This window comes from Homo sapiens, chromosome 18 (assembly GCF_000001405.40).
Source record: "Homo sapiens chromosome 18, GRCh38.p14 Primary Assembly".
NCBI lineage: Eukaryota > Metazoa > Chordata > Mammalia > Primates > Hominidae > Homo > Homo sapiens.
Window position 1 is genome coordinate 31400182 of NC_000018.10, and position 19422 is coordinate 31419603.

At 36.9% G+C, this 19422-nt stretch overlaps 1 protein-coding gene and 1 long non-coding RNA gene across 3 annotated transcripts in view; one reads left to right on the forward strand and one right to left on the reverse strand.

Moving 5' to 3' along the window:
- DSG4 (desmoglein 4) overlaps positions 1–14728 on the forward strand; it is a 38133-nt gene extending 23405 nt beyond the window's left edge. Inside the window, exons 10-16 of one of the 2 annotated variants that reach the window (NM_177986.5) lie at positions 700–839; positions 3235–3453; positions 5896–6192; positions 9271–9410; positions 9564–9627; positions 11050–11267; positions 12647–14728. In NM_177986.5, coding sequence (NP_817123.1) covers positions 700–839; positions 3235–3453; positions 5896–6192; positions 9271–9410; positions 9564–9627; positions 11050–11267; positions 12647–13414 — 1846 coding nt within the window. In that variant the 3' untranslated portion in view covers positions 13415–14728. Of the gene's footprint in view, positions 1–699; positions 840–3234; positions 3454–5895; positions 6193–9270; positions 9411–9563; positions 9628–10928; positions 11268–12646 lie in introns of both variants that reach the window. The other variant, NM_001134453.3, reaches the window with a different exon arrangement.
- DSG1-AS1 (DSG1 antisense RNA 1) overlaps positions 1–19422 on the reverse strand; it is an 83621-nt gene that overhangs the window by 56814 nt on the left and 7385 nt on the right. The window lies entirely within an intron of this gene.

Sequence of the window (19422 nt, forward strand, 5' to 3'; positions counted from 1 at the left end):
CTTCCAATATTCTTAGAGTAAACGAAGTCTACTGACTTATAAGTTACCTTGATGTTCACAGTTTTAGTTATTAAATCAGTTAACAAATTGACAGACGCAAAAAAACCTGTGAAGTCTGCCAGGATGGGTGGAGGTAAAAGCAGTTCAGATAAAGGAACTGAAGACTTGAAATTGTGCCTGGTAGAGACCAGATCTTCTTCCAGTGAGGTCAAGCACTTTAAATCTATCATCTGTAACAAGATCCAGATAGTCACACTGAACAGAGGATATCACAAGCCCCCAACAGGCTATCAGTGAGGTGCTCTGAAATCAACATAGCTGAAAAGCCACAAAAAAAATCCTAAGTATACCACATACAAAAATAAATAAGCAATATGTGTTTCTGAAAATGAATAAAGGATGTTTTACATTGCTATGATTTAATAAATAGAGCTGAAATAAACTCATACATTTTATTAACAATTATCCTAGGAGCCAGAAGAGTAAAAATGATGAAATTTTAAAACTTGCAGACCTGTATATTAATGTATATATCATTGAATTTTTATTGATATATATGTACTTTTTATAAACCAAGGCAATCATCACTATAAAACATAAAAACACAATATTAAAGTTTGCCACATTGTAGCTGTTACATGATTTAAAAGTACTAACTTTCATAAAAGCATGATAACGAACTTTTTTATTTAAAAACAGATATATCATAGGGCATGATGCAGGCAGCTGGTTAAAAATTGATTCAAGAACTGGTGAGATACAATTTTCTAGAGAATTTGATAAGAAGTCAAAATATATTATCAATGGGATATACACAGCAGAGATCCTGGCTATAGATGGTAAGAAAATTTATTTTCAGTATTTTAAGAAAACTAGTACTATTATATTAAATATTATGTTATTCTAATGCTGATATTTGAGTGACTCAGACATTTTTAATGGTGTATGCAAGACTTATGGAAAGCCCTAAACACCTTAAATCAAGAATTGAAGTCAATTAAAATCATAATTTACACTGAAGCCATAGTTTATTTCATCTACTTCCAAAACTGAGTTGTATATGGCTTACAGCATAAAAGTTAAAATATAATTCATCTTCTGATTATGACTTTGTCTCTTGAGTATGGCTAATCTCACTTGTAGGGTATGTTGGGAATGTTTACTTAAAGTAAGGGCTACGTGCTCTACAAAGTTCATTTGGGGATCACCTTGTGGGAAAGCAATGTCTCCAAGAATACAATTATTTTAGATCCATTAAAACTGAACTACAGTGAGAAGCTTGTGTGAGTGTTGCTTGATTAGACATATTTCCATAGTAAGATGCTATGGACCAAGAAAGCACAGATTATTCCAAATATAAGATCCATATTAAAAGTCATAAATACAGATGCACTGACTTAACTTGTAAGCGAGCCACCTCTCACATGGGTAAATCTGTTAAGCAGTCCTCTTGGTGAGCAGCAACAGGATTTGTTTATTTATCAATAGTTAATGATTCTATGAAGCAGTGCCTAGGAAACCAGCTGCTGTAGAACCAAACAAGAGACAAAGGTCAGGAACCACGAAGGAAGGGGAAAGACAGGCGTCCAAGATACATGCCTAATGTAAGACAGATACTGTAGGTTTGCATTGAGTTTATAGCTGACCTTTCCAGTATCAAAACAAAAATAAAGATAAAGAAGCAGCATAAAATTCAAAAAGAAACCATGATAAAACCAAACCAACTATCATCTGTACATCCTGGGCTTCATCCTGTGGCGGGTAAATTTTAACGCCTGGGTCAGTTTTATAAATAACATTGTCTTATTCATTATCAGTATTCTGGAAGCTCTAATTTGAAAATGGATTCTAACCATGTTGATTGCACCCTATGTTTGCATATTGGTCATATGTGAAAAATCTTCAAATGCTAGAATAAATAATTAGTCATTCCAAGCAAATAAAGAGAGAGAAAGTGCTGTCAAAATGTACCAAGAGAAACCCAGAAACAAAGCTGATTGTTTATTCACCTAAGCAGAGTGTCTGCACTGGCACAGAGCTATCTGAATGGTTGGAATAAGTTTGCTTCAGCACACACCATCATCAGGTGAAGAGACAGACCTCTATGCAGAGCAAACTTTACTGGGAAGCAAACACTATAAGCAATAGCTTGAGCTTTGGTTGCCAATCACAAGGTAATAGAAGAGCTACCAAAGATCAAAGAATGACAAATAAAACAATCTGTGGAATAATCTGATGCCTCTCGAATGAGAAGCTAAGTGAAATCGACATCCTTCATCTAGTAAAAACAAGTCCAATGCTGAATAGGGTATATAAACATATTATACAAAATCATATAGACTATAGGTAGGCTCTCAGTTTATTCTCATTCAGTTACCTCAATGACTACTACTTAGGCACACAGAAAACATCTGTAAAAGGAATTTATTGCTTTCTCAGAAAAGGACCTAGTAAGGTACCCCAGAGACGACAACGTTCTAGTTTAAAAGCGAGAAAGCTAAGATTCTTTTCAAGTTAAAAAGAAGCAAAAAAAATTCCGTATTCGCTGTAACAGAACATAGAGTAGAAAAGTGGACTAAAAAGCTCCTGGACTCCTAATCTTTAGTCTTTGGCCCTTTCTGATTAATTATACTATCCAAAAACTTGTTTCAAGTGGATTAGGGAAAAATCTAATAGACTTATATTTGTTTTCAGAAATGCCATTTCAGAAAGAAATAGCATGTAACAGATGCAATTAAAATAAACAGTGAGCACACAAGAAAAACACAAACAAGTATTTATTTCAGCTGTGGTTATTTCTACAAACACAGGACTCAGTGAGCATCCTGAATGGAGGTTCATAACTGACCTGGGGGTCTAATTTATGGGAACAGGGTGAGATTAGAAACCAGTAAACCTTCTCGGAGGAAGAACATTTGATTTTGCGCCTTAGGATGTGTCAGAATTAGCAAAATGAAATGAGGGTGGAAAACATTTTAGGAAGGGTGAAAAGAATGTGCCAGAGTCCAGAGTAAAAAAGAAACTTGTTTAAAGAACTCAAAAGAAGCAGTGTGGCTGGAAGGTAGCACACAAAGGGAAGAGTGACTTTGGGTCACTGAAGCGGGCAGGAACCTGTCAAGCCTCCCAAGTCACGTATATGTTTCCTACAAGTTCCATGGCATCATCAGGGGATATGAGAAAGAGTTTTCTCCCTAACACCATTTACCTCAACACCAATGACCCTTACTCTTTCAGATGGCTCTGGAAAAACAGCTACAGGAACCATATGTATTGAGGTTCCTGATATCAATGATTATTGTCCAAACATTTTTCCTGAAAGAAGAACCATCTGCATTGACTCTCCATCAGTCCTTATCTCTGTTAATGAACATTCTTATGGGTCTCCGTTTACTTTCTGTGTTGTTGATGAGCCACCAGGAATAGCTGACATGTGGGATGTCAGATCAACAAATGGTAAGTGAAACGTAAGCTTGTTTTTTGGACTTTAAGTCCAAAAGCAAAACAATTACCAAAAAATGTGGCAAGTCACTTAATAAAACATTCTACTTCTGTTTCCACAGTTCTTGCCATATTAACATTAAATGAAAAAAATATTTCATGTACACAGAGGATATTTGATAAAATTTTGAACTGAAATGAAATGAGTCAAAATGTTTCATTAATATTTAATTTACAAATAGTAGTGGATAAATACCAGTTTACCCATCATTTTGAGTAGGTAAAACGTTGAACCAATATTTATTCAGTTTAAAATAAACAGAACCCTTAACAAACTCATAAATTAAGAATGTCACAATTCCCTATTCTGAATAAATTCAGACAAATCACATAAATGTCTCTGAAACTCATATATCCCATAGATACATTTAAACATTTACTACTCACTTAGGAGCACATAAAATCAATTAAATTGTTTTTTACAGTAACTATGAGTTCAGACTTATTTTTAAGGGTAAAAATTTAAATCCAAATTGCTCAGTATTAGAGGAATGATTAAACAGAGTACATATTATTAAGATGTGTTAATATACAGCCATTAAAATTAGAATTATGCAAAGTATGTAGATACAAAAGAATGCATAAACCAAAGAAAGTAAAGTGAAAAACAGATCACGAAGTTGTATATGTATGTATCTTGACTATAACTACATACAATTGAATGGCTGACATCGATAAAAATTAAGAATAAATTTCAGATAACATAACATTTTATCTACCTTGCGTTCTTTTTCCTAAAACGTTAAGTGCATAATAAAAAAGAAAATGCTATGAGAGGATCTCATATGGGCTAAGATAGCTCCCCAATCTCATATTCATTTGGGGCTACAGGGAAAATTTCATGGGCTAGTCGGTGGCCATCAGACTACAGAGCCCAGGGTGAGAGGAAATACTTCCCACCTCTTTAAGGTCACCAAGCCCCTCTATTTACAGAATGGAGAAACCCTAAAATAAGGTGGGGAAAATACCACCAATAAAGTAAGAAATTAGGCAATTTGTTTTTACCATCAAACCTTTAGCTCTTTTCAACAAAACCACTTTAATATTTTTTAAAGTTAATCATGTTAAAGCAATTCCATTAATATCAAGTCAACTCTGAATTCACCATCTCCTATAAAGCTCAATAGCCCATTCATAAACAATAATAATTGCTAACCACTTTTTTCCTCATTCGGATCCTAGATATTATGATTACACATGTAAGAAAAAATGTTCTGCATGGAGGTATAATATTATAGCTATTACAGGTTTGCCAATAAAAAATATAACCACACTGGAGATGATATTCCTAGAGACCTGTTTCAATGCTTGCTGGTGTTTTAGAACAGAATGAATTTCACTTAATGTGCTGTGGCATTGCCTTATCTCATTTTTACCTTGTGCACAGGTTAGATTTTGGTGGACATAGCTGGCTTGCCATCTAGCTAACTGAGGATAATAAACCATCATAATAAAAAATATTGTGTGCTATGGATCAATCAGTTACTATTCATGGTTTAGCTGTAAATTTAATCATCTCAACACTCCTTGTATTAATAAATAAATTCCAATGAATATTTTAGACAATATGTTTTATGAAAATTCATAGGCAATGATAGCACAAAGAATTAGGAGAATGTGAACAATTTTAAATGAAAGGGCAACAATTTTGAGTAAGATACATATAAACAGTCTTAAGGAGGGTATTGTGTAAACTGTAATCCTAAATAGAAGACTTCTAATATTTTCTTTCAGCTCAATATTATTTATTCATTGGGCAAATATTTATTGAATGTATATTATATGCCAATTACTGTTGCTCTGGAAAGATGCAGCAAGGTCCTTGCCTGCATTATAGAAGTAGCAATCCAGCAGTAAGCAATACTTATTTAAAAATTAGTTATAAATGTTAAAAAAAAAAAGAAAGAAAGAAAAGTAAAAAAGGCCAGGCAGAATGGCTCATGCTTGTAATCCAAGCACTTTAAGAGGCCAAGGCAGGTGGATTGCTGGAGCCCAGGAGTTCAAGACCACCCTGGGCAATATGGCAAAACCCTGTCTCTACTAAATGTATATATATTAGCCAGGCATGGTGCCACACACCTGTAGTCCCAGCTTCTCAGGAGACTGAGGTGGGAGAATCACTTAAACCTAGGAATCCAAGGCTGCAGTGAGTCATGTTCGTGCCACTGCACTCCAGCCTGGGCAATAGGAATGAGACTCTGTCTCAAAAATAACAAGAATAATAATAATAATAATAAATTAAATAAATGTTAAAAAAAAGTACAAGGTGCTTTATGACTAAGAAAGCATGAAAAATCTAGTGTTTTAAGTCAATATTTGGTATTAGGGAGAGTTAACCACCCCCCTAGCCCACCAAGGAATTTCCATTTATTTTCTGTTTCCTCTCTTCCATTTCAGCTACCTCGGCAATCCTTACGGCTAAGCAGGTTTTATCTCCAGGATTTTATGAAATCCCAATCCTGGTGAAGGACAGCTATAACAGAGCATGTGAATTGGCACAAATGGTGCAGTTATATGCCTGTGATTGCGATGACAACCACATGTGCCTGGACTCTGGTGCCGCGGGCATCTACACAGAGGACATAACTGGTGACACGTATGGGCCTGTCACTGAAGACCAAGCTGGAGTTTCAAATGTTGGTCTTGGACCAGCAGGGATTGGCATGATGGTTCTGGGCATCCTGCTACTGATTTGTAAGTACTCAATTAAATCCTTCTTTTCAATAGTTCTTCAAAATAGGGCTGTTACGAGGCTCGCTGGGATGGTTAGGTTCATGGAGCCATTTCTTTTTGGTATCTCTAGCAATTTTTGAGTGCCTTAGAAATAAACAATGGGACTGACAAATATATGCGCTTAATCCACAATGATAACTAAGAAAGCCTAGGGTGAGTGACAGTCCTAAAAATGGGAAACACATGCAAATCACTACATATACTACCTAAAAGCACAAAACAAATCCCATCATGGAAATTTCCTTAAAATGCTTTAAGAGTAGAGAGGCAGAAGCAATTAAGTCCATGTGGAAAAGTTAGGACAATCTTTTGGAAAAGTGGATTTTGAGGTGAGCCTGAAAAGCTGAGGATTTTTTTTTTCTTTTTTTCTTTTTCTTTTTTTTGAGATGGAATCTTGCTCTATTGCCCAGGCTGGAGTGCAGTGGCGCAACCTCGGCTCACTGCAACTTCTGCCTCCCAGGTTCAAATGATTCTCCTGCCTCAGCCTCCCGAGTAGCTGGGACTACAGGCGCCCACCACCACGACTGGCTAATTTTTGTACTTTTAGTAGAGACGGGGTTTCACCATGATAGCCAGGATGGTCTTGAACTCCTGACCTCGTGGTCCACCTGCCTTGGGCTCCCAAAGTGCTGGGATTACAGGCATGAGCCACTGCACCCTGCTGAGGATTTCTTTTAAAGGAGGATGATGTCTAAGGAAATTTGAAAGGTAATCAAACACACACACACAAAAAAAAACCACACACACAAACAAAAGGGAGCAAGATATGGAAGAGCATAGCACACCTAGGAAGCAGAGAGGCAAAAGGGAGTCTGGGAGCCAGCATGGAGGCATGTTCATGACACACCAGGCATTCTGGGCTTCAGTACAATGGCACAGAAGAGTTGATGAGGGCTGATGAGCGCAGGTGACCCTGCGGTAGGAAGCAAGTAGAAGAGACTAGAACAGAGAATTAGCCTCTGGGCTCTGGGTGAGTGCCTAAACTAAGACTGGTCACAGAAGTGGAAAGATCACCAAACAAAAATTTCCCAAAAAGGGCCCTCCTTTCCCCATAGAGTTTTTTTAAACATATAGATCCTCAGAGGAAGAATACTTCATACATTTTAGGTTGCCCTTGCAATATTTAGGTTTCATGGGGATCAAAAGCTGGGTTCTAAAATTAAAGAGAAGTAAATTTGTCAAACTGTATTGTTGCTGTTTTCAGGGATGAGCACTAATTAAAATGTAATCATTTCAAGGCATAAAAAATAACAGCTGACTTTTGGTGAGGATTTCTTTTTTGAAATAATCTGTGAGGTTTCAAAGCTATGCAAAGATCATGAGTGATTCTCACAATGATATTAGACACATTTTCCCAGAATATAACTCTACAGCAATTGAGTAGTGGTTTCGGGTAAGCTTTGAGTTAGCGGTTCTCAACCCTAGTTGTACATAAGAATTAGTTAAAGGTCTTCCAAAATTACTCATACTAGAGTCATACTCAAGATGAGACCAAGCATCAGCATGTTCAAGCCCTTTGGTGAGACTAATGTGCAGTTCAGGGCTAAAAACCCAGTGCCAGCTGCATTTCCAGAACGTTAGCACTAAGAATTTCAAGACTTTTTCCTGACCCAGACAAAGAAAGCATGAGAGTTGTTCAACTGATGGATTGTAGAATAGGAGAGGAATACCCCTATGGACACTTGTTTTCAATGGAGAAGCCCATGGTCTATTTTAGGAGAGAGGGGGCAGTGTGATGGTAGTGGGAGGGATCTGAGCCCAAACCTATGTTCCCAAAGGGCCTCAAATTGACACTTTTGATGTTAGCTCCAAATGAGATTACACATACAGTAATTGTATTGGGTATGTGCTAAAAACACTTCATTTCATTTATTAGATAGTGCCTTTGTTAGAGTTCAGGCCTGCAATGGTACATGATCCAGCTCACATTTAAATTCACAGAAATATAGAATAGGCAGAACCATGGCCTAGGGGCTACCAATTTTAGTTTTAGTCCTTTTCCAGAAAATGCTATGGAAATGTATAACTTGACCTTTCACTGTTCATAGTGCAGATGGCAAAATTGCCAAATTAATTGTTGTAATAAGACTAAAGCTGATTTTGCAACTTTGATAGTCTCTTCTTTTGTATCTGTTTTTAATTTTTAATTTTTGTGGGTACATAATAGGTGTACATATTTATGGGGTACATTAGCTGCTTTGATACAGGCATGCAATGTGAAATAATCACATCCTGGAGAATGGGGCATCCATCCCCTCAAGCATTTATCCTTCTATTCTTTATCTTTAATTAACCCACTTAGTAAAATGCATGCCATGCTAGAGAATTAGGAAAGTATGAAAAGCAACCAGAGTGGGCCCAAAGAACTAAACAGAGTGTATTCTAGAATCTTAGAAAACTTAAGCAGTGTCTATATTTATGGATTAAAATACAGAATTGAGGTGATTATTAGGGTAACAAATAGGAAATTTCCTCTTAAGAAACACTTGGATAGCTAAACATTTTTGATAGCTTTAATTTTTCATTATAGTCTATAAACAAAGTCTTAAAATAATTGTAAATATCTCCATTAAATTTAGTGAGTATTATTTGACTTCTATTTTAAGTGTAACTGTAATAAGGATTGAAGATAGGTCCTATCTCCAGGTCCTATAGCTGAATCCTGTATTCAATCCTCTTGATAACATATATTCATGATGCGTTTAACTTACATGTATGTGTGCATCTGCCCCAACCAGTTCAAGAGTCTTAGACTAAAGACGACCTTACTTTCCTAATCTGTCAGCAAAGAAATTCAATTACCTGATCGCAAACTCCTTGCCATCTAGCGCTAAAGTTCTATGTGATTTGGTGGTGCTGTATTTATAAACTTGGATATGTATACTCAATCCCCTAAAGGAAAAAAATGAGATTTTCTTACATATATTTGTATTTTTGTTCTAAATATACTGCCACCAAATGCTCCCCAGAATGATTCATCCAGTGACTTCCTAAACCGAGCAATGTGTGTTAACTCGACATTGTCACTTTCTTGGGCAGTGGCTCCACTCTTGCTGCTCCTGTGTTGCTGCAAACAGAGACAGCCAGAAGGCCTGGGAACAAGATTTGCTCCTGTGCCTGAGGGCGGAGAAGGAGTGATGCAGTCTTGGAGAATTGAAGGGGCCCATCCCGAGGACAGGGTAAGTGGACTGTCACTCTCCAGAGAAGTGTGGAGTTTCAGTGGAAATTGAGCATGTCTTAACAATTACATGCTGCACAAAAATGAACAGATGTCAGTTTTTAAATGTTTAACATAAAGCGTTTGTTTTTAAAATGTTTATTTTTCTTTTCAGGATGTGTCAAATATATGTGCACCCATGACAGCCTCAAATACCCAGGATCGGATGGATTCCTCTGGTCAGTAGACACCAAAATCTGTTTTTCCTTTTAAATTTTTCAAAATTATTCAACCAGACCAACTTCATGTAAAAGTACCTTATGGAAAAGTCTGTCAGTCTCTTTGGGTGACAGTATAATTAGAGGGAATGTGACCTGTTTGAAGTAGCCACTTTTTTTTTCTATCTGAAACTACAGACAGTGAAGTATGACACAGCAGTTAAAAGAGCAAACTCTGGAAGCAGAATGCTTGGGTTTGATTCCCAGCTCTGCCACTTGCTTAAGGGTTGCATATCTTTTATCCGAAATGCATAGGACCATGAGTTTGAGTTTGGCTCAAACTTTTTGTACCATGATGATCAAAAAGTTTCAGACTTAGGAGCATTTTGGATTCTTGATTATTGGATTTGGGATGCTCAACCTGTAGTAATAAGTCCTTAGTCAAGACATTTAACCTCACTGGGCCTCAGTTTCCTTATCTTTAAAATTGAGCTTATGATAGTACCTACTTTAAAGTGTTGCTGTGAGGAGTAAATAATACATATTACATATGTAATATATAATACATACATATATTGTATAGATTATTTTATTATATATAACATACATGTGTATGTGTGTCTATATATATACACACACACATATATAAGTGTGTATATATACATATATCACAAAATATACGTTAGAGTAGTGCCTGGCACTGTAGTAATTATTTATAATACAAGCTGTTTTTTTTTAAAGAGCTAAAGAAAAGGCAGTAAATGTACTCTAATAATACACTGAATAACTTTTCTTAACTTCAGACAAGCTTTTGCCTCAAAAGAGTGTCGTAAACTCTCCTATCTTACCAGCCCCACGCATATCTAACAATACTGAACACACTACTTAGCTATATGGCAATGATTGCACCAAACAGAGAGGGTGCTTAATTCTGCAGTGCACGTGAGCTTTCTCTGATGGTTCCTTAGTATCCCAAGCTTGGCCCTTTGTATGCAAAGAAACTCCGTGACTGAACATCCCTGTGAGCCCAGCTCCATCCTGTTCCGGAGTGAAGGAGGACTATGAGCTCAGTTTCTGCAATCACGCCGCTGGCCTTGCTTTGGAGGGCTCCCGGCTGGATCAAGCCCGCAGCAGCCACGGCGGGAACGGGCGCCTGCTTGTAGTTCTCTTGGCTAGTTCTACACCTTTAAGTCTAGGGCGAAGTCTGTGCAAATGTGGGAAGGCCACGTCCCACCACTGACTCCCTCTGTGTAATTAATTTACTTTTATTTGGTCAACAAGCCTGGAGATGTATCGGTGTAACTTGTATCTCTCTTTGTCAGCTTTTTAGCGCCTACGCCTTGCCGGGTGGTGGTGGCACCGCAGACGGCGGCGGCAGCGTTTTAGGCAGATGCGCGCTGCAGGCAACTCCAGCGCTGTTAAACCAACATCCTCCCTTTTCAGAAATCTACACCAACACCTATGCAGCCGGGGGCACGGTGGAAGGAGGTGTATCGGGAGTGGAGCTCAACACAGGTATGGGGACAGCCGTTGGCCTCATGGCCGCAGGGGCCGCAGGAGCCTCAGGGGCCGCAAGGAAGAGGAGCTCTACCATGGGAACCCTGCGGGACTACGCTGACGCAGACATCAACATGGCTTTCTTGGACAGCTACTTCTCGGAGGTAATGCCCTCACAGTCACACATAAAATCGTCTTGAGATTGAATAATAATAATAGTAAAATACTCACAATGGTAGTAGGCCTCTTCGGAAATATGCTGTTATTCTCAACCCTATCCCAAACCTGAATAAAAAGTATTTCACGTCTCCTTAAAACACAAAATGCTAATTTGCCACAGGATTTCATATTCAACTGCCATAGCGCATCTTAGTACCGTGAACAAGGCCACACCCCTCATCATTCTCCACTTCCCTTTTCCATTTTTCTATCTTTTGTTTCCTTGATTCCTCACCTTGTTTCCCACAGCAGTAGCAAAGCAGGAAAATGCTCATCAAGGGGAAAAAAGGTGCATTTATGACCTCTGTTTTTGATGTCCTTCATGTTCTCCCGGAGCCTCCAACAGAAAAGAGAAAATAAAAAGAATTGGGAACGAAAGGAGTTAAAACTCAGGAACGCAGCATCACCACAACTCGTGCTAGATTAAGACCTAGAAGATAGCTCTCCTATTCTCAGTCCAGTGACTTATCCACCAACTGACCTTCACTACGAAAAGGGGTCCAGCAATAGCACTGCTGGGTATATATCCAAAAGAAAGGAAATCAGTATATCAAAGAAATATATGCACCCCCATGTTTATTGCAGCACTAGTCACGTAGCCAATACATGGAATCAACCTGTGTCCATCAACTGATGATTGGACTTCTAAAATGTGATTCATATACCCAATGGAATATTATTCAGCCATAAAAAATGAAATTTTGTCATTTTGCAACAACATGGATGGAACTGGAGGACACTGTTAAGTGAAATATGCCAGGCACAGAAAGACTAATTTGACATGTTCTCACTCATCTGTGGAAGCTAAAAGGAAAAACCGAACTCATGGAGATAGAGAGTAGAATGATGGTTACTAGAGGCTGACAAGGGTAGTAGGGAGGGGAAACAGTGGGATGGTTAATAGGTGCAAAAATACTGTTAGAATGAAGAAGATCTAGTATTTGGTAGCACAACAGGATTGCTATAGTTAACAATAATTTATTACACATTTTAAAAGAACTAAAATAGAACTAGAATTTTATCTCATATTTCAGTCGGCCTGCTTTATTCTCCATCTGTTCATACATGAATTTCACCATGATTCTTTACCAAACAAATGCTGAAGATGTTGTTGCAATTGTAAACTATATCTTAAAATTGGTAGTTACAAATGCTATCACAGAATGTGCATGGATAGTATCAATTATTTTAATGAGTGATTGATACCATTATTCAGTTTATTCCGTAACAACTTAACTCAGAAGTCTCTCTGAGGGATTGCTGTTATTCTTCCTTATTTTAGGGAAAAAGAAATTTCTAATTCTGTATTTCCTTTTAATTTTAGAAAGCGTATGCTTATGCAGATGAAGATGAAGGTCGACCAGCCAATGACTGCTTGCTCATTTATGACCACGAGGGAGTCGGGTCTCCCGTAGGCTCTATTGGTTGTTGCAGTTGGATTGTGGATGACTTAGATGAAAGCTGCATGGAAACTTTAGATCCAAAATTTAGGACTCTTGCTGAGATCTGCTTAAACACAGAAATTGAACCATTTCCTTCACACCAGGCTTGTATACCAATCAGTACTGACCTCCCTTTGCTCGGACCTAATTACTTTGTTAATGAATCTTCAGGATTGACTCCCTCAGAAGTTGAATTCCAAGAAGAAATGGCAGCATCTGAACCCGTGGTCCATGGGGATATTATTGTGACTGAGACTTACGGTAATGCTGATCCATGTGTGCAACCCACTACAATTATTTTTGATCCTCAGCTTGCACCCAATGTTGTAGTAACCGAAGCAGTAATGGCACCTGTCTATGATATTCAAGGGAATATTTGTGTACCTGCTGAGTTAGCAGATTACAACAATGTAATCTATGCTGAGAGAGTACTGGCTAGTCCTGGTGTGCCTGACATGAGCAATAGTAGCACGACTGAGGGTTGTATGGGACCTGTGATGAGCGGCAATATTTTAGTAGGGCCAGAAATTCAAGTGATGCAAATGATGAGTCCAGACCTTCCCATAGGCCAAACCGTTGGCTCCACATCCCCCATGACATCTCGACACAGAGTAACACGATACAGTAACATACATTACACCCAACAGTAAGTGCTTTATGGTCAGTATTCTATGTGGAGACCTTGCACCTTGTAATCATCAATACATCCACCAAAAATATATAATGTACCATATATATTAATAGTCAACAAATACTCAGATATTCTAAGGTCAATGCCATTATTTGATTATACCATTTTGAGGGTGAATATGGCTAGGCACTTTAGATAAGCCTTTTTAAAATTCTTTCTGATTTTAAATAATGCGTCAAAAAATGTGCAGAAAATGTATTGCATCCCTTGATACTGTCTAACGAATAGCACATAACTCATATTGTGAATCCTATGGGTCTTGAGGCCTGTAGAACCAATCTTGTAAACCAAGATGCCTTGTTCTTGGAAGTTACAAAAGAAGCCCTGTCTACATCCACCAGCCATATTTTTCGTTAGGGAAATATTTATATTAAAATTTTTAATTGAAAAGTTGAATGAAATGTACATTCTGAAAGGAAATTGAAAAGGAACGTAGAGTATCTGTCAATATCTTTAGATATCTGAAGTCATTTGTCTCTTCAAAAGATTTTTCAATATTATGCGCTATTAAGCAATAGGAGATGCTTAATATAATAAGAAAAGAGTTTGCCAACTGAAAGCATGGCTGGAAATGGTTCATCAAAGAAAAATATATATTTTTATTGAACTTTATTGATTTATATGATTAACTGTAAATTAATCTAGAATAGCAAAAAAAAATGACAATCCTAAAGTAGAAAGAGTTATTGGGGAAATATTAGAGTTTTCCCCACTTACAGGGAATTTTTTCCCTACTGTTGCCAATTATGTCAGAAAAATACATGAAATATGGCTTAACCAATTTCATTGACCTGAATCGTAGAGCTTTCAATTGGCAACCAGATATTCTCCAAAAGCACTCTGTAGTTATTCATATATTCTACAATATTTACTTAGAAGCAACTAGGTGTTGGGTGCTAGTCTTGGCTCTGTGAATATACAGGTAAAGAAGACAGACATGGTTTCTGCCTTCATAGAGCTTCTATTCATTTCTAGACTTAAAATAAAACTCTGGGATATGGCTTTAAGTTCCTAACAACAATAATTAACCAACTACTTAAGTCCATTACCAAGTTGTGTTTCTCTTTGCAACACTACTGTTTATGTTGAATAAATAAAATGGAAACACATTGCTTACTTTTCGTAGGCATAAAGCTGACTTGAGAAAAAGAATCTCTAGCCAGGTAATTTTACTTAATTCTGTAAAATATGTATACAGTAGCAGCAATAATGTGACTGAGATAATGTAAATGAAATAAACTTATTTTCAAGGCTTAATCCTTTTGAAAGGAAATAATTGTAGTGTTTCTTGCCTATCTTTTGCTCCTTTATGAATAAAACTATTGTAGAATTTAAGTCATCTCAGATAACCTCTTACCTAGTTCTCTCATTTTCTGGACAATGAATCTAGAAATAGAGAGGTTAAATGACCACAACCAGCTAGTTGTGGTACAAAGCCTTGAACCCATTGTTCAGATACGCTAGCCAGTATGCTTTTTTATACTATAACTTCACCAGATCTGAAGAGGATCCAAACCTGCCTGTTGCATACTCTTTGCTATTCCCTAATTGGAAGAAAAACTCTCTCTCAAAAAATTAAGTTTTAAAGTGTAAGCGCAGACCAGCTAAAACATTGTAATGCTAGAAAGTTACTTACATATTTCCTAATATTTTCCAAATTATGTGTACTGCCAGCTGCTACATCCATTTCTCACTTTAGTAAATTTTACTACTCTATAATTGATGAAATCCATGGGGTAGCTAAGGAGCATTGGTCTCATGGTGATTAAACACTCAAGCAACAACCAGCCACATAGCATCTGGCACACACTCCATTCCGTGGCAAATCCTGACATGGATATTTCTCGCTTAAAGTTTGCATTGGATGGCTTTTGTTAAGTCAAAAACTAACACATTGGTGAGACTGCGGAGAAAAGCGGACACTAATACAGTGTTGGTGGGATTGCAAATTAGTCTAGCTACTGTGGAAAATAGTTTGGAGAATTCTCAAGGAACTGGGAGTTGAATAGCCATTTGACCTAGCAATCCCATTACTGGGTATAAACCCAAAGAAAAATAAACTGTTCTACCAACAGGACACGTGTACCCATGTGTTCACTGCAGTGCTATTCACAATAGCAAAAACATGGAATCAATCCAGGTGCCCATCAACAGTGGACTGGACAAAGCAAATGTGGTACATATACACCGTGGACTACTATGCAGCCATAAAAAAGAATGAAGACTGAAGAATGAAATCACGTCCTTTGCAGCAACATGGATGCAGCTGAAGGCCATTATGCTGAGCAAATTAATGCAGGAACAGAAAACCAAATACCTTATGTTCTCACTTATAAGTGGGAGCAAAACATTGGGTTCACATGGACATAAAGATGGACATAATAGACAATGGAGGCTATTAGGGGAAGGAGAGAAGGAGAAGGGCAAGGGCTGAAAAACTGTCTATTGGGTACTACGCTCACTACCTAAGTGACGAGTTCGGTCATACCTCAAACCTCAGCATCATGTGATATAGCTTTGTAACAAACCTGCGCATGTATTCCTTGATTCTAAAATAAAAGTTGAAAAAGAAAAATAACAAAATAAAAAATTTTAAAAACAGGTATTTTTATATATAATGATTTCTATTCTTTTGGGTAGATGCCCAGTGGTGAGATTTCTGGGTTGAATGGTAGTTCTATTTTTAGTTCTTTGCAAAATCTCCATACTGTTTGAATTTTTTTAACTACAAATGGATAAGTAGGATCATACTCTTGGTATATAGAAATACATGTTGTTGTCAGAGAAATTTTTTGAGTGTATTTTAAATTACTGTTATCATTTAACATTTAAAACATGTTAAAAAATTATAAAAATGAACTCAGTAAGTTTTCTCGTCTAGAATATAGTGATTATTTTAAATTTGGGTCTTTTTTTAATATTTTAAACTGACCAAAAAAGTGGAAATCGACCTGCAAAAATAGAGTTTGCATTCTATTAGGCCAATCATTCTAAGAATTATAAAATAGTCAAAACACTATGAGATTTTAGAAATGAAGAATAATACCAAACATTTAACTAATAGATTACTCTTTTTTTTTTTTTTTTTTTTTTTTTGAGACAGTCTTGCTCTGTTGCCCAGGCTGGAGTTCAGTGGCATGATTTTGACTCACTGCAACCTCCACCTCCCAGATTCAAGCGATTCTTGTGCCTCAGCCTCCCGAGTAGCTGGAACAATAGGCGTGCACCACCAAGCCCAGCTAAATTTTTTGTATTTTTAGTAGAGGCGGATTTTTGCCCTGTTGGCCAGGCTGGTCTCAAACTTCTGGCCTCAATCAATCCACCCACCTTGGCCTCCCAAAGTGCTGGGATTACAGGCGTGAGCCACCATGCCTGGCCCTGCTTACAATTTTAAAAGGAGGTTAAAACACCACTTGTGAAAAGGATAAGATAATGTTCCTGTGAGCTTTTTCTTCTCTTTATCAATACACAAAGACTTAAAGCTGCTTCCAAAGAAAAGACTTACCTCTAATAGATGCCCTCCTCCATACTATCTGTGGAAATAAGAGCTGAACAATGTAATTTTCTCTCAACATTGTTAGTAAGGAGGAACTCTTCCACCATTCCAAGGTGATCAGTATCATTCAGATGCAACTCAAGCTTCCAAAATTGACATACTTTTTAAATGTCATCTCAAACGAAATAGCATAAACCAATATTCTCTTTACTGCTTAAGACTCAGGGTATTAATTTGTCTAAGAAGTAAAAATGATATCGTGTTTATGTTAAGGTTTGAAAATGAACCCAAAAGCTCAAGAAATTATATTTTATAAATAAATATAACATATAGTCTGAATCATATTTCCTGCCCTGTGAAATTACTTGAGGGGGTAGCATCATTACATGAATAAATGGGTTATCTTGGGAAAGTCTTACAGGTGAAGAGAAAGGAAAACATTAAGAACATAGAGTTAATAAACTTGTTCAAGAAAAAAATTATTTTCTAAAAAAATTCTTCTTTTGAACTAGTTATTTCTGATCATGGTGTATTAATTACTAAATGTAATAATTTTTTATGTATTTATTTAAAAAATATATATGATAAAACAATGTTTTATTTTCTCTTTGGTGAATGTAGTATTTCATATGTAAACAGACAAATTCAGAAAATCTTTTCCCATTTTATTGATAATCATCTTTATTATTATGTGCACAGTACAGGGGCATGAATTCACTTGTAAATTAAAATTTAGAATAATTCATTTGTTTTTAATGATAAAATTTATCAACAGAATTATTATTTTATTAGTAAATGCTCATATAAAATAACAAATAAATTTAATAAACTCCATAAATTATTGTAGACACTGCAATTAAAAAATTAAGTATCACCATGGAATACTATGCAGCCATAAAAAAGAATGACATCATGTCTTTTGCAGGAACATGGATGGAGATGAAAGCTATTATCCTTAGCAAACTCATGCAGGAACAGAAAACCAAATACCACTTGTTCTCACTTATAAATGGAAGCTAAATGATGACAGCACATGGATACATAGGGGGAACAACAGACAATGGGACCTCTTGGAGGGTGCAGAGTGGGAGAAGGGAGAGGATCAGGAAAAATAACTAATAGGTACTAGGCTTAATACTTGGGTGACAAAATAATCTGTACAACAAATCCCCATGACACAAGTTTACCCATATAACAAACATATACATGTACCCCTGAACTTAAAATAAAAGTTTAAAAGAAAATTATCTCTTCCCACTGGATTCAATCTTGGGGCATGAGATTTAAGATATGAATTTAAAATAAAGTAGTACCAAGCATTTAACTAACAAATTAAAATTTTAGAAAGGTGAAAACAGTACTTGTGAAAAGGGTAAGAAAATTTTCCTGTACAATTTTTTTTCACCAATTCTCTATTCAACAAAATTATTACTATTGTTTCTGTGCCAGAGGTACCAATTTATGTAGAATAAGGAAAGAATAATTATTTTCAATCAGGGGAATTGAGGAAGGATCCTTGAAGATGATGTAGAATTTTGTCTGACGGAAATTACAAAGATATAAAAGCTAAAACACAGGCTATACCCAAAGACTATTAAGTAGCCAAATTAAACATACTTAAAAATGTCTGAAACAAAATAAGAATTTTAAAATTATCTTATAGTCAGCCATTTTAAGATGATGGTTACTGCATTAATTACTCAAAATATACTATCCTATTGAAATATCAAAATAACACTATGAGGTATGATTTATACCCATGTCATAGATGAAGACACAAAAGCTAAGCTAAGAGAAATGCTCTTTTATTTTTCGAGATGGAGTCTCGCTCTGTGTCCCAGGCTGGAGTGCAGTGGCGCGATCTCGGCTCACTGCAACCTCCACCTCCGGGGTTCGAGCGATTCTTCTGTCTCAGCCTCACGAGCAGTTGGGATTACAGGTGCGTGCCACCACACACGGCTAATTTTCGTATTTTTAGTAGAGAAAGGGTTTCTACTAAACCAGGCTGGTCTGAAAGTCCAGATCTCAAGTGATCCGCCAGCCTCGGCCTCTCAAAGTGCTGGGATTACAGGCGTAAATCACCACACACGGCCAGAAATCATTTTTGTTAGAGCTTAAGTGGGTAGCAAAATTAAAATTCAAACCCAGGACTCACTCCAAAACTCTTACTGCTATTCACCAAATTATTTTATTTAATTCTGGAAGGATATGTGAGAGGCAGCCTGTAGAAGGATCTTGAATCCAATTAGGAGGTTGGATTTAACTTGGTAGGAAATGGAGAACCAGTGAAATTTTTTTGTGCCGGCCAATGGGCAGGCCCAATTTTATGAGGTGGCACTGGGACGGCCCTCAGGAATCCTCATGATAGTCTGTCTGTGTTCTGTTGAGACACCAGGTGGCTCGTTCACTGAGGTGGAGAGCCTAGTGTTTGTCTCTGTGGAAGTCACGATCTTCTGATAAGTCACCATTCC